At 40.6% G+C, this 12,911-nt stretch overlaps 1 annotated feature.

The window, feature by feature from the left end:
* Positions 8,749 to 9,260: an enhancer, noted in NCBI's record as "NANOG-H3K27ac hESC enhancer chr12:68752044-68752555 (GRCh37/hg19 assembly coordinates)". NCBI's record gives its function as "activates a minimal SCP1, AML or CMV promoter by ChIP-STARR-seq in naive H9 embryonic stem cells {active_cell/tissue: H9 hESC(naive)}" and the evidence as "EXISTENCE:reporter gene assay evidence [ECO:0000049][PMID:30033119]".

The raw sequence follows: 12,911 nt of genomic DNA on the forward strand, positions 1-12,911 counted from the left end.
TCTGAGGCTTAAGCCCAGAAGCTTAATTTATAAACTGAGTGTAATGAACCTTGTCAGAATTGTATTACCACTTGGCTTGTACCATAATATATGTGTGGAGTGGCTATTGTATACAAAGATGACTTATTTCAGCACACTGGAACTTTCCATTTGTTAACTGTCTCTCAGCCCTGGAATAGTCATTTTGCTTTTGTTTTTATTTCAATAGCTGCCATTTAGCAAGCTGCCATGAAGATAGCCATCTCCATCTGATTCATTTGGGGCTACAATTCATGTATTAAGGTTAAATCCATATCTTTTATCCACCTTGGGTGAAGAACATGAAAGATCCTATACAACTGGTCTAACACCTGTGTGTTCTCTCTCCTAAAAGTTAATACCCAATTCAGCTTGGTGCAGGTTTTAAAATTTAAATAAAAAAATAAAGTTAATATTCAAGTTAAACCTTGGTCTATGTCTAATCATTACAATCCTTCTGGAATCCACAAATGCCAAAGCATTTGCCCCAAAAAGCAGCCTGGAACCAAGGTGTAATGAAGCATTTCACCGGTCCCACTGGACAGGGCTGTGAATCATCTTCCTTTCTTACCCAGTTGGCACAGATACATAGCAACTGAACAGCATTTTGTCTCCGGAACAGTATAATTTCCTTAAATTACCATTAGGTACTAGTGTTGTTTTCACTAGCAGCTTGTACAGGGCCAGACATATCTCAGGGAGACCAAACAAATCTTCAGAAGCAACCCGCATGTGGAGAAACCATGTTGCAGAGTTTGAAACCTCTTAAGATGGAGTAAGCAAAATCATCCTCCTAGCTCAGCTGCCTGGGAAACTTGAGCCCCTGGCACCTGAACATCACCACGGCTCCAAGCAATGACACCATCTTTTGTTCTCTGGTTTATTTTTCTGCCTAACTCCTTCTGTCACCTGCCTCTTCCCTAGGGACTGAGCTAATAGAAGATTGGTACCTCTCTCAGCAAGTCCATCTGGTTCATTGAAATTTATCTCACAAAGAGTAGCAATTTGAAAGATGGGAAGAGTGGCACAAAGTGGTTTAGTTTCTATAAGTGCCCCCCCCCCCCGCCAACTTTGTGGGGGAAAAAAAAAGCAACAGCTTCCCTTTCACTGCAGCAGCAACCTGTAAGGTAATGGATCATTTCAGGGCATTCAGATCTGGCCTACATTGGCGCTGATATTTATCCGGCTTATTCTGGTATTTTCTTCAGGTTAAACTTGTACTACTTCAGTGTCGCACTGACAGTGACTTTCTTTCTTAATGTTCACAACCTGGAGGGAGTGAACAAGGCATATACAAAAGGTAACAACACATTCACAATATAAACAAAGAGCAAAGAAATCTTTATATTTCCCTGTAGATTCCTGCTATTTTAAGAAGCAGTGGTGGTTGTGCCACTTATTCATTTTTTAGCTATGAGTCGGATTTGCAGCATTCTCCTCCCTAGTCTGTGGCTAGAATAGCGTTTTCCAAACTATGGGCCCTACTGCTAAAGAACACACAATCTGCCTGGGTTTGAATCCTTGCTCTACTACACTAGCTGTGTGAGTTTAGGCAAGTTACTTAATGTCCATGTGCCTCAGTTTCCTCATCTGCAACATGGGGAAAATAATAGTGCCTATTTCTTTTTGTTTGTATTTGTTTCTGTTTTTGTCTTTTGAGATGGAGTTTCACTCCGTCTTGTTGCCCAGGCTGGAGTGCAACGGCACGATCTCGGCTCACCACAACCTCTGCCTCCCAGGTTCAAGCAATTCTCCTGCCTCAGCCTCCCGAGTAGCTGAGATTACAGGCATGCGCCACCATGCCTGGCTAATTTTTTTTTGTATTTTTAGTAGAGACGGGGTTTCTCCATGTTGGTCAGGCTGGTCTCGAACTCCCGACCTCAGGTGATCCACCCACCTCAGTCCCCCAAAGTGCTGGGATTACAGGCTTGAGCCACTGCGCCCGGCCAATAGTGCCTATTTCATGAGATGGTAGTGAGAATTAATTTAGTTAATATAGGTGAAAAATGTAAATACTGACTGGCTAATTGTAAGTATTAAATATTATCATTATTCAATTCTACAGAACAGTAGTTCCAAGAGATGTTTCTAGGGAAACAAGAGCCTGTGGTCAAATAAGATTGAAAACGCTTCACACTAACATATGTCATCAAATCTACAAAGTTATTGATTACATACCACTAGGAAAGAAAAAGCAATGCCAATTAAATTAGGACACAATGCTTTCCCCAGGGATTTGGCGATTTTCCTGGTTTCAGTTGTGTTGCTCCCTTGGTGAGTGGTAGCCACTCCTTGTGCGCCTACCTCGGTAACAAATATAGCCCTAGCTACTGGGTATCTTCCTTTCTTAAGTTCTATCAAGCATTTGGTTATTGCTTTGCAAGAAGATAAGGAACTGTAGTGCTGTGGGCTAGATGTTTGTCCTCCTAAAATTCATACATTGAAATCCTAACCCCCAAGGTGATGGTAACAGGAGGTGGGGCCTTTGGGAAGTGATTAGGTCCTGAGGACAGAGCCTTTATGAGTGGGATTAGTGCACATTAAAAAATGCCTGAGACAGGAATATTCAGCCCCTATTCAGCCTGAAGAAGTTACAGAGGGTGACTCTTCATCCCTCTGTAACCGTTAGGATTAAGGGTCCCCTTGTAAAAAGGGAGGGGAAAACATGTCAGAGGCATTTGAACCAGAGCAACTCCATCTTGAATAGGAGCTGGGTAAAATAAGGATGAGACCGACTTGGCTCCATTCCCAGGAGATTAGACATTCTTAGTCACAGGATGAGATAGGAGTTTGGCACAAGATACAGGTCACAAAGACCCTGCTGATTAAACAGGTTGAGGAAAAGAAGCTGGCCAAAACCCACTGAAACCAAGATGGGGATGGAAGTGACCTCTAGTCATCCTCACTGCTCATTATATGCTAATTATAATGCATTAGCAAGCTGAAAGACACTCCGCCAGTGCCATGACAGTTTACAAATGCCATGGCAATGTCAGGAAGTTAACCTGTATGGCCTAAAAAGGGGAGGAACAGGAACCCTCAGTTCAGGGAATTGCCTACCCTTTTCCTAGGAAACTCGTGATAACCCACCCTTTGTTTAGCATATAATCGAGAAATAACTATAAGCAGCCCATGTGGCTACTCTGCCTATAGAATAGCCATTCTTTTGTTTCTTTACTTTCCTAATAAACTTGTTTTCACTTTAACAACAACAGCAAAAAGGCCTGAGAGAATCTCATTGACGCTTCCACCATGAGAAGACATGGTGAGAAAGCACCATCCATGAACCAGAAAGTGTATCCCCTTACCAGACTCTGAATCTGCCAGAGCCTTCACCCTGGATGTTCTAGCCTCCAGAACTTCGAGAAATAAATTTCTGTTGCTTGTAAGCTACTCGGTTTGTGGCATTTTGCTATAGCAGCTCAAATAGACTAAGACATGTAGTTAACCTACAATGATGAGCTTCTGCTGCTCTAAGATCTTGTATATACCCGACTGCTCTGTTTCCATACCTTTTGACATATACAGTAACTTTTCATGTCAATACCAATTCATGGTGTGATCTTTATGAAGATACTTTAAAGAGCAATGAAACATCATTCTATGCTGTGCTAGGAATATACCTAACTCAGCTGATGTGACAACAAAAATAGCTATGGCCAACATCGCATGTACCCAGGCAATGACAACCATGGCAAAACTGCTGCCTGACCAACAACTGCTATAAGATACCACTGACTGTAAGAAGCATCCTACCTCAGAGATAATAAAGTACAGAGGGAAGTGCTACTTAGAATTGATGAAATATTTATTCCCCCTTTAAGAGATCACCAATGCATATTAACATATTAAAGGTGCAAGGAAGCCCTGCAGTAAAGAAACCCTCTTCCCTGCTTTAAGCCAATATTGAACCAGACAGCCCTCTTTACAAGTTATACCTATCAACATGTTGGCAAATTCATATCAACATATTCTACTGAAATAGAATCTAACAAATCTGAGCATAATCAAGTAATCACAGGGAATTTTTTCAACCGCTTTATAGTCAAGCAGCTATATAGTCAACCAGGAAGACTGACCTGGTTGTGGAATCAAAGACAGAAAAGTAGCCCCCACAGAAATCCTAGAGACTAATGATGATAAGTCAATATCTCCATATTCTTAAAGAAGACACTTGCCGGCCGGGCGCGCTGGTTCACACCTGTAATCCCAGCACTTTGGGAGGCTAAGGCAGGTGGATCACCTGAGGTCGAGAGTTTGAGACCAGCCTGGCCAGTATGGTGAAACTCCGTCTCTAATAAAAATACAAAAGTTAGCCAGGCATGGTGGCACATGCCTGTAGTCCCAGCTGCTCAGGAGGCTGAAGCAGAAGAATTGCTTGAACCCGGAAGGTGGAGGTTGCAGTGAGCCAAGACTGTGCCACTGCACTCCAGCCTGGGTGACAGAGCAAGACTCCATCTCAAAAAAAAAAAATACAAAAATTAGCCAGGTGTGGTGGCATGCACCTGTAGTCCCAGCTACTCGGGAGGCTGAGACAGGAGAATTGCTTGAACCTGGGAGGCGGAAGTTGAAGTGAGCCGAGATCATGCCACTGCACTCGAGTCTGGGCAACAGAGCAAGACTTTGCCTCAAAAAAAAAAAAAGCACTTGCCTCATCCCCAAGTCCAGAGTTTTTATCACGATAAGACTAACTCCTTAGAACCAGTCAAATTCCAGTTTAATAAACACTATGGAGCCCTTGATATACATTAAGTCCTGAGCTCAGCACCAGAGCTACGAAATGCTTATAGGACCTCTGTTTCATCATCTGCAAAAACGCAATAATAATAATAACACAATAATAATAGTATTACTGTATGTATGCAGTGAAGTACTGTATGTACAGCACTTAATATAGTGCCCTGGCTTGGAGGGTTGCAAGTGTCATTCCAGTGAGGAAGATGGAAGGGAAATGTAGGAAATGCCGAAGAAGCACGAGCCACTGGGAGCCATGGGGGCCACTGTCATTCCCCTGTCCCTTATTCTATAAGAGCGATTGCTATAGAGGCTGCTGAGCAAATGGCTTACTGTCTTCTGGTTTAGTTTTAACTTTAGGTTCAACTCATTCAAGTTCTTTTGTGCCCACAAAATCACAAGAATGAAGTGAGGCTTTAGCTGGGCTGGCATCAGTCATCTGTCACCTGCATAGGCTGGGGTTCAGCAGTGCACAGCAATGACTTATTTCATCTTCAGGTTTGTATTTGGTGTGAGAACCTGCAGGGAGAGGGAGATCATTTGGCAAGGGCAGGGAGGGGCATATAAGCATCGGGAGGTGAGCCAGAGTCAGAAGTCAGCTCAGAGGCCTTCACATCCAGCCCAGATCAGGAGCTAAGTAAAGGTGGCACCTTCAGTACTGGGTCCTCTGAACTGGGGGCCATCCAGGACTTCATGAGACATCCAGGCCCACTTTAACTGGGCCCTTAACTGGAGTTAGAGCCACACTAGGTACACAGATTCTAAAGACAGGGATACTTGTACCCAGGGTACCCACTTCACAGCCACACTCCCAGTTCTTTCTCCCTGTCCAAGAGGCTTAACTAGTCACTCCTACTGTACTGCAGTGCTTCTCACACTCACAGCCACTCGGCGGGAATATGTCAGGAGCTTAAACACTCAGCCTCCTGCTAGGAAAGAGAAACTAATGTCAGAGAAAATGTTTAAAAGGAGAGCATTTGAAGGATGGGGAAACCATTAAATTAGAGCATGCTTTTTTTCCCATTTTTCATTTTAAGTGACTCAAAAGTAGGGGAGGAAAAGGGAGAGACAATTCAACACTGCAGAAATGACCACTGACAGCTATAAACAAATGTCTGAATGTTCTCTTCTAGGCAAGATAGTACTACTTTCTGTTACACAGCGTGAGATCTCATTATGTTCTTTTGATAACTGAACACTACACTACTGGTAACATGGAAAACTTATTAAAAATATTCATTAGAGAATTAATATGCTTCATTTCTTCCGATTAAGTGTTGTAATAAAGATATCTTGTCTTTATGTGCCAAATATCTCTCAAAAGAATGAAGAATATCAGAGTTTTAAAAATCTGATTGAATTCATTTACAAACTGTTAACTACTAGAAACAACCTGGCATAATATCCACCTGATTCCTCATAGATGGGTAACTAGTATTATTGATTTGATTTCACTCATCCTCAGGGATTAGAGCAATCTACTTATGGTGACTTCTTGCTTGCTTGCTTTTCTTTTTCTTTCTTTCTTTCTTTTTTTTTTTTTTTGACAGTCTTCCTCTGTTACCCAGGCTGGAGTGCAGTGACAGTCATAGCTCACTGTATCCTCAAAATCATGAGCTCAAGTGACCCTCCTGCTTGAGCCTCTCAAGTAGCTAGGACTACAGGCATGCACTACCTTGCCCAGCTGATTTAAAAAAAAAAAAAATTTGTGAGACAGGGTGTTGCTATGTTGCCCAGGCTGGTCTTGAGCTCCTGGCCTCAAGTGGTCCTCCTGCCTAGGCCTCCCAAAGTGTTGGGATTATAGGTGGGAGCCACTGTGTCCAGCCAACTTCTTAATAACTGAAGCAAAACACTACATAGATGTTGAAACTTCAGTAATAAAGTTGATAACATCAAGTTGCCTTGGCTTCTCCATGTAGACATTAATAGGGATAAAGAACAACTTGTTGAATCAACAAAGATTATCCCAAACACAGGAGGAAAGGAAGAGCAAGGTAAAAGAGAACAAATGAATGGAAAGCTATGTGTCCAGAATCACAGGAATGAATACAGGATAATAAAAGAGAAGAAAGATGTAGGTGAAGGGACAGGGACATATTCAAGGAAAAGCTTAGTAGTAAAGGCATTTACAAACCAGTGAGGGAACTTAAAGATGACCAGAAAAGGGAGCTAAGCATTTTTGTGGCAGCATCTGGAACTGCCTGGAGGATGGAGAAAGGCCCCAGAGAAAAAAGTGACATATATCATGGGTTTCCATGGTGATGATGACAGTGTCACTATCAGAGCATTATGACTTCAGAATAGAAATGAGGATATAATAATAGCATACACTAACATCTCCCTTTTAAATCCCTCCCAAAGCTCTTAGTATTTACTCATTAATTTTCACAACACCTATGAATTAGGGAGTATTACCTATTTTAGAGATCAAAAAATCAGAAACAATTGAAATGGCCACAATGCCTGAAAAAGTATATTGCTGCTAATCTCTCACCCTGCACTATAAACTTGTGGGATAATTGACATAAAGACTATTTCACTGGTGCTTATGCTAAGTAATATGATGAGTTTTTTGAGCTAACCATTTTTGGGAAATGTACGTTGGACCACTGGAGAAAAAACTTTCTAACAAGTGTTCTTAGATTTCTTCTTAATTATAAAACATGAGAAAACAGAAATTTCAGCCTTTTCAACAGCTGAGCATTGTTTTCCAAATGTTTTGCATCAAAGATTACCTGTCTGTCTTCCCCATGGGTTGCTTTTATTGCAACTGGCATTCTTTCAGGCTTTTTAATTTTTTTTCTGGGCTTTGTTTCACTTTACTCTTCTTCCCCCCTCTTCCCCCTACTTCATTCATCTGTTCCATTAACCCCCCTTCAAACACACCCTCAAAACCAGGGATGGGGCCTATGACTATATCACTATAAAATTCTTATTACTACTCATTCTTAGAATGATTAGGACACTCATTAACCTGGAGAGGAAATTCATATTACAGTTGAAGAAGTTTTGGAATCGGACAAGCTGGGTTCTAATCCTGCCTCTGACACCTGCCAGCAAAGTGACCTTAGACCAACTACTTCTCTGATCTTAGTTTTCTCCATCTGTAAAGTAAAATTATATTTGTATGTATTTCCCAGGGTTGCTGTGAGGATAAAATTGGATAATGTATATAGAGCATTTAGCAAGAGTTATTCCTGAGGCTATGAAAACGCAGGCTTCCCTATCTAGGTAGCTCTCCTTCCACTTTCTCATACCCTATTTTGCAATCCCCAACTTGACTCTAAAGCCTTTTAACACTAATCTCCTTTCAAGGGTCTCTCTCTGTTCCCATCTTGAAGACAAAGAGCAAGAATGCTCAGAAAAGCTATGTTCACATTCAGTATCTATTGGGACCTCAGGAAGTGGCTGAGGGACTATAAATCCAGAGAACAAAATTTTACTGTGTTTCCTCCTTCCAAACCATGTGATCTTGGGTAAGCTGCTTCTCAGATCCTCAAGTTTCTTCTGTAAAATGGCATCACAATGCCTACCTCATAGAAAATTTTTTTTTGAGACAAGTTTCGCTCGTTGCCTAGGCTGCAGTGCAATGGCACAATTTCAGCTCACTGCAACCTCTGTCTCCCAGGTTCAAGTGATTCTCCTGCCTCAGCCTCCCAAGTAGCTGGGATTACAGGCATGCACCAACACACCTGGCTAATTTTGTATTTTTAGTAGAGACGGGGGTTTTTCCATGTTAGTCAGGCTGGTCTTGAACTCCCAACCTCAGGTGATCTGCCTGCCTTGGCCTCCCAAAGTGCTGGGATTACAGGCATGAGCCACTGCTCCCGGCCTTTACAGAGATCTTATGAAAGTTAAAAGTACTTATGAATGTAAAAATGGCTTATACAGGAGCATAACACACAATCAATGTTCAATAAAGTGTGACCTGAACGTGACTGTGAATTAAAAATATTTCCTATCATTCTCACTTTCCTAGAATTTAACAGTAATGAAGTAAATTCTGGTATATCCTGTGATGCAGTTACTAAAATCCTAGAGTAGAACATTATTAACATGGGGAAAATGCTCATGATCTATTACTAAGTGAATAGTATTTTATATTATTTTTGTTTTTTAAAAAACACTCAACACATACACACACACACACAGACACAAAAAGGGTTTTTACCAAACTTTTCTGTACTAAGCATTTATCCTTTTCTATTTAGGGACAGAAAGTTAAAATAGAAATTTTAAAAGGAGCTATGGCAAAAAAAAAAAAAAAAGTATTGTATGGTGGGTCCATCAAGCATGACAATGGAAGGAAGGCACTAAAAGCAGTGGGGAGTGTGGAGAGGGTAAGGAGAAGCCAAGAGTGGGGGAAGGGAGAGGGAGAAAACAGGTCAGAGTGAGGACGAGGTAAGTCAGGGCTCAGAGTCAGAGGAGCCTTGTCTTCCATGCGTTTGTTGCTGGGATTGCCAAAATGCCTGCGGAGATACAGGGTCGCGTCTCAGCCATGCAGGCCACAAACATTCAAAGTTCACTGGGGGAACTGGGAGCCGGAGGAATTCTGAGCCCAGGGGGCTTTAGATGCCCTGATTTTTCTGTCTCAGATCCACAGAAAGGGTGATTTACTTGCCTGCTTACGCAAAAGCTAACAGATGACCTAGATGGCCTCCCATGTGGCTTTCAAGTCTAGGAGACTGATTTACTAGGGTTTTGATTTATTCTCCTCCAATGAGCAAGAAACCAAAAGCTATCACCGCTAGGTGGCATGCCCCAAATACTATTAAACTTTGAAACTGGCAGAAAAGTTGGTATCTCAGGGAATCACACACACTCTATAAGTCAAAAGCACTGCTAGAGGCAACAAGATGATCATAGAAGATTTTCAGTTTCTCACTGTTAAAAACAAAAATCATCAAGCAAAACCACTGTAACAATAACAAACACTCCTTTCCCAAATAATATATTAAATGCGTTTCTCATGGACACATCCTGGAATCCCCCTGGGAAACATGGCCCCCATACCCCTATCAGTGCCTATAACAATCTCCTCCTTTCCCAACCAAAATAAACAAGTGTCCCCTATCATATGCCAAAAGCAGAAGTAGGTCTCTGATGTCATCAAAGAATAATGTACAACCACAGATACAAGATTTGCATGAGCTGAAGTAGGACAAGAAATTCCCCACACAGGATCTATTATGGTCGAGAAAGGACAAGAATGGGACCCAGGCCAGAAAGAATATACTTCTTTTGACCTAATAATCTTCTCTTTCTAAATATCACTGCCACTGTCAGGATCTCTATATTAAGCTAGAGCTGTTAGTCATTTACACCTTAATGTGGATTACTTTTCTCTGCTGTCTTTTCTCCGGAACGTTACATGTCATTGGTTATTCTACAAGAATAAAATTTTAGTTGAATGGCTAAAAAGAGGAATGATTTTAGAGCACATGAAAGGAGTACCCAGAAAGGACAGGACAGGGTAGGGCCTTGAACTTGAGGACTCTGCATATGGCTGCAGAGGGTCACCAAGCTCTTGGCATTTTTGAATGAGGAGAGGAGAGTGTAGATGGAGAAATAATTAAAGGGAAGTGCTGAAAGAAAGGGATGTGGCAAGACACATTTTGCATAATTCATAGATTTGCCTAGGACTATCTGGATGCCTAGTGATGAAATGTGAAGAAATACAGACAATTTGGTATTTTCCAACTATGTAACTCTAACAGGAAATTCCCTGTATTGTCCTATATTTAAATAAATTAAATATATGAGATGTGACAATAAATACAAGGGCAGATTTTTTTAAGCAAACACACATGTATAGACACACAAATGAGTTATTATCCCTTTCAAAGTATTCACCCATTTTAATAATGCAAACCATTTTGGAAGCTCCTCTTTTAAAATTGACACATATCTTTTGAAAACCCAGTGCTAACACAACAGCATTCTTTCTGAAAGTGGATTTCATTTGTTGAAAGAGTCAAAAGTTGGCTGGGTGTAGTGGCTCACCCCTTTAATCCCAACACTATGGGAAGTAAAGGCAGGAGATAGCTCGAAGCCAGGAGTTCAAGATCAGCCTTGGCAACATAGCGAGACCCTATCTCCACAAAAAAAAAAAAAAAAAAAAAAAAAAGGCACTGGCCTGGTGCGGTGGCTCACACCTGTAATCCCAGCACTTTGGGAGGCTGAAGTGGAAGGATTGCTTGAAGCCAGAAGTTCAACACCAGCCTGGGCAATACAGTGGGACCCCATCTCAATAAAAAATATAAAATTTTGAAAAAGTCATTTGGAGCTAAATTTGGCAAACAGAAAGGATGATCAATAAGAATGTTCCATTTTTGGTCAAAACTGAAGCACGACTCAGAAGTATGTGCTCTAGTATCACACTGGGCCACAATCCTTCTTCCACCATTTTATTAGCTCTGTGAACATAAGCAAGTTATGAAATCATTATTTGCCTCGGTTCTCTCATCTATAAAATGCAAATGATAATAATACCTACCTGATAATGTTGCTACGAGATTAAATGACATAATGCATACAAAATACTTACATGGTACTGTAAGTATACGTGGTAAGTAAGTATACACGGTACTGTATAGGGGCAAATGCCAAATAAATAGTAATAATGTTAGTAGTGGCAACAGCAATAATAGTAGAAGTGGCAGCAGCCACAGTAATATGTGGCTTGTAAACCTAAGGAGGCAATTTTTAAAATATGTAGCCTCCCAACTAGCAACTTTCAATAACTGCACCAATTTGCATGTGTATTCTGACATATTTTTAATCTTGTTTTTTTGTTTCTTAACCCATTCTTATTTAAACTCAGATGGCACATATTTTCCAAAGAGTTCCCTCCAGTCAGTGAAGAATATTCAGAGAGGCAGCTTCTGTACCAGTGGTTTAAAATTATTGTACCAATACATTAGAATTCATGAAGATGCTCTATTATCTAGACATGTCAAATTATATGTCTTGTTAATTCACAATAAAGATGTATCAAGCAAATGCCGATCATTTTCTAAAAACTGCTAAAACAGATTAAATCAGTCACTGACTAAAATAGATCTACTCAATCAATATATAATTATTGACCATAAATTTTGGGCTGTATGGTCTGGTCTCTGGGGTAACAACCAGAGATATACGGATGAACCAAACAGATATAGCAGACCAACAGGAAGTTCTTGGATTCTCGAAACTACTTCCAGCTAAGGGACACACACACACAAATACATAGGGCACCTCTGGAAGAACACTCAATACACTAGCAATAGTGATTGTCTCTGGGGAGCAATTATTTAATACTACTTTGAACTGTTCAAGTTACCTTATGCATGCGTTACCTTTTCAAAAAGTAAATAGAAGTTAAAAATTTAAACTTTTATATACAACAAAAAATGGAGTAGTTTCTTCAAACCTGCTATGCTGATTCACATCTATTTTAATGATGTGAAATATCTGTGCTTACCTCTTCACTTAGAAAATTAAATCATTCACTACAATATAATACTGTTATTGATCCCAGTCCATTAATTACTCCTAATTTCCCTTGTAAGCACATAATAACAGCTGTGCAACCCATCAGTCCACATGCCACGGTGATGGCCTGTTGAAATGCTTTGCTAAAGAATTTGGTCATGGAGGGGTTATCAGGATATTGTCATCTTTCTGGGTAACCATTTCCAAAGCTGGTGAGCAGAGTCTAAAGCCAACTCAGCATAGCCATCCAGCATCCTCCTCATCCATCAGCTGCATGTCTTCCCAAGGTGCTAAGCAATGACCTTCCTCCATGAACACTGAGGCTCATTTTCTTCTTTGAGGCTCATTGCTATGTTCTCAACTCCAGAGAGTAGTATGTCCTTCAGGTTTAAACTTGCCAAAAAAAAATCCATAAATCAATCAGCAAACATTTATAAATCATCTCCCACATTCAAGGTACTGTGATGGATGTTTCAGGGATGTCAAGAAATATAAAATGTGGTTTCTAAACTCTAAGAGTTTATTGTCTAGTTAGAGAACTAAAACACATAAAAATTCAAAACATGGAACCATACAAGTAGAATACTAAAAGTACCAAATTAAGAGGTTAAGGGGGAAGAGGCAATAATATTTATCAAATGGCTGTGCACTGTGCTAGGTGCTTCACATGTCCATTTCACTTA

Source organism: Homo sapiens, chromosome 12 (genome assembly GCF_000001405.40).
Source record: "Homo sapiens chromosome 12, GRCh38.p14 Primary Assembly".
NCBI classification, from domain to species: domain Eukaryota; kingdom Metazoa; phylum Chordata; class Mammalia; order Primates; family Hominidae; genus Homo; species Homo sapiens.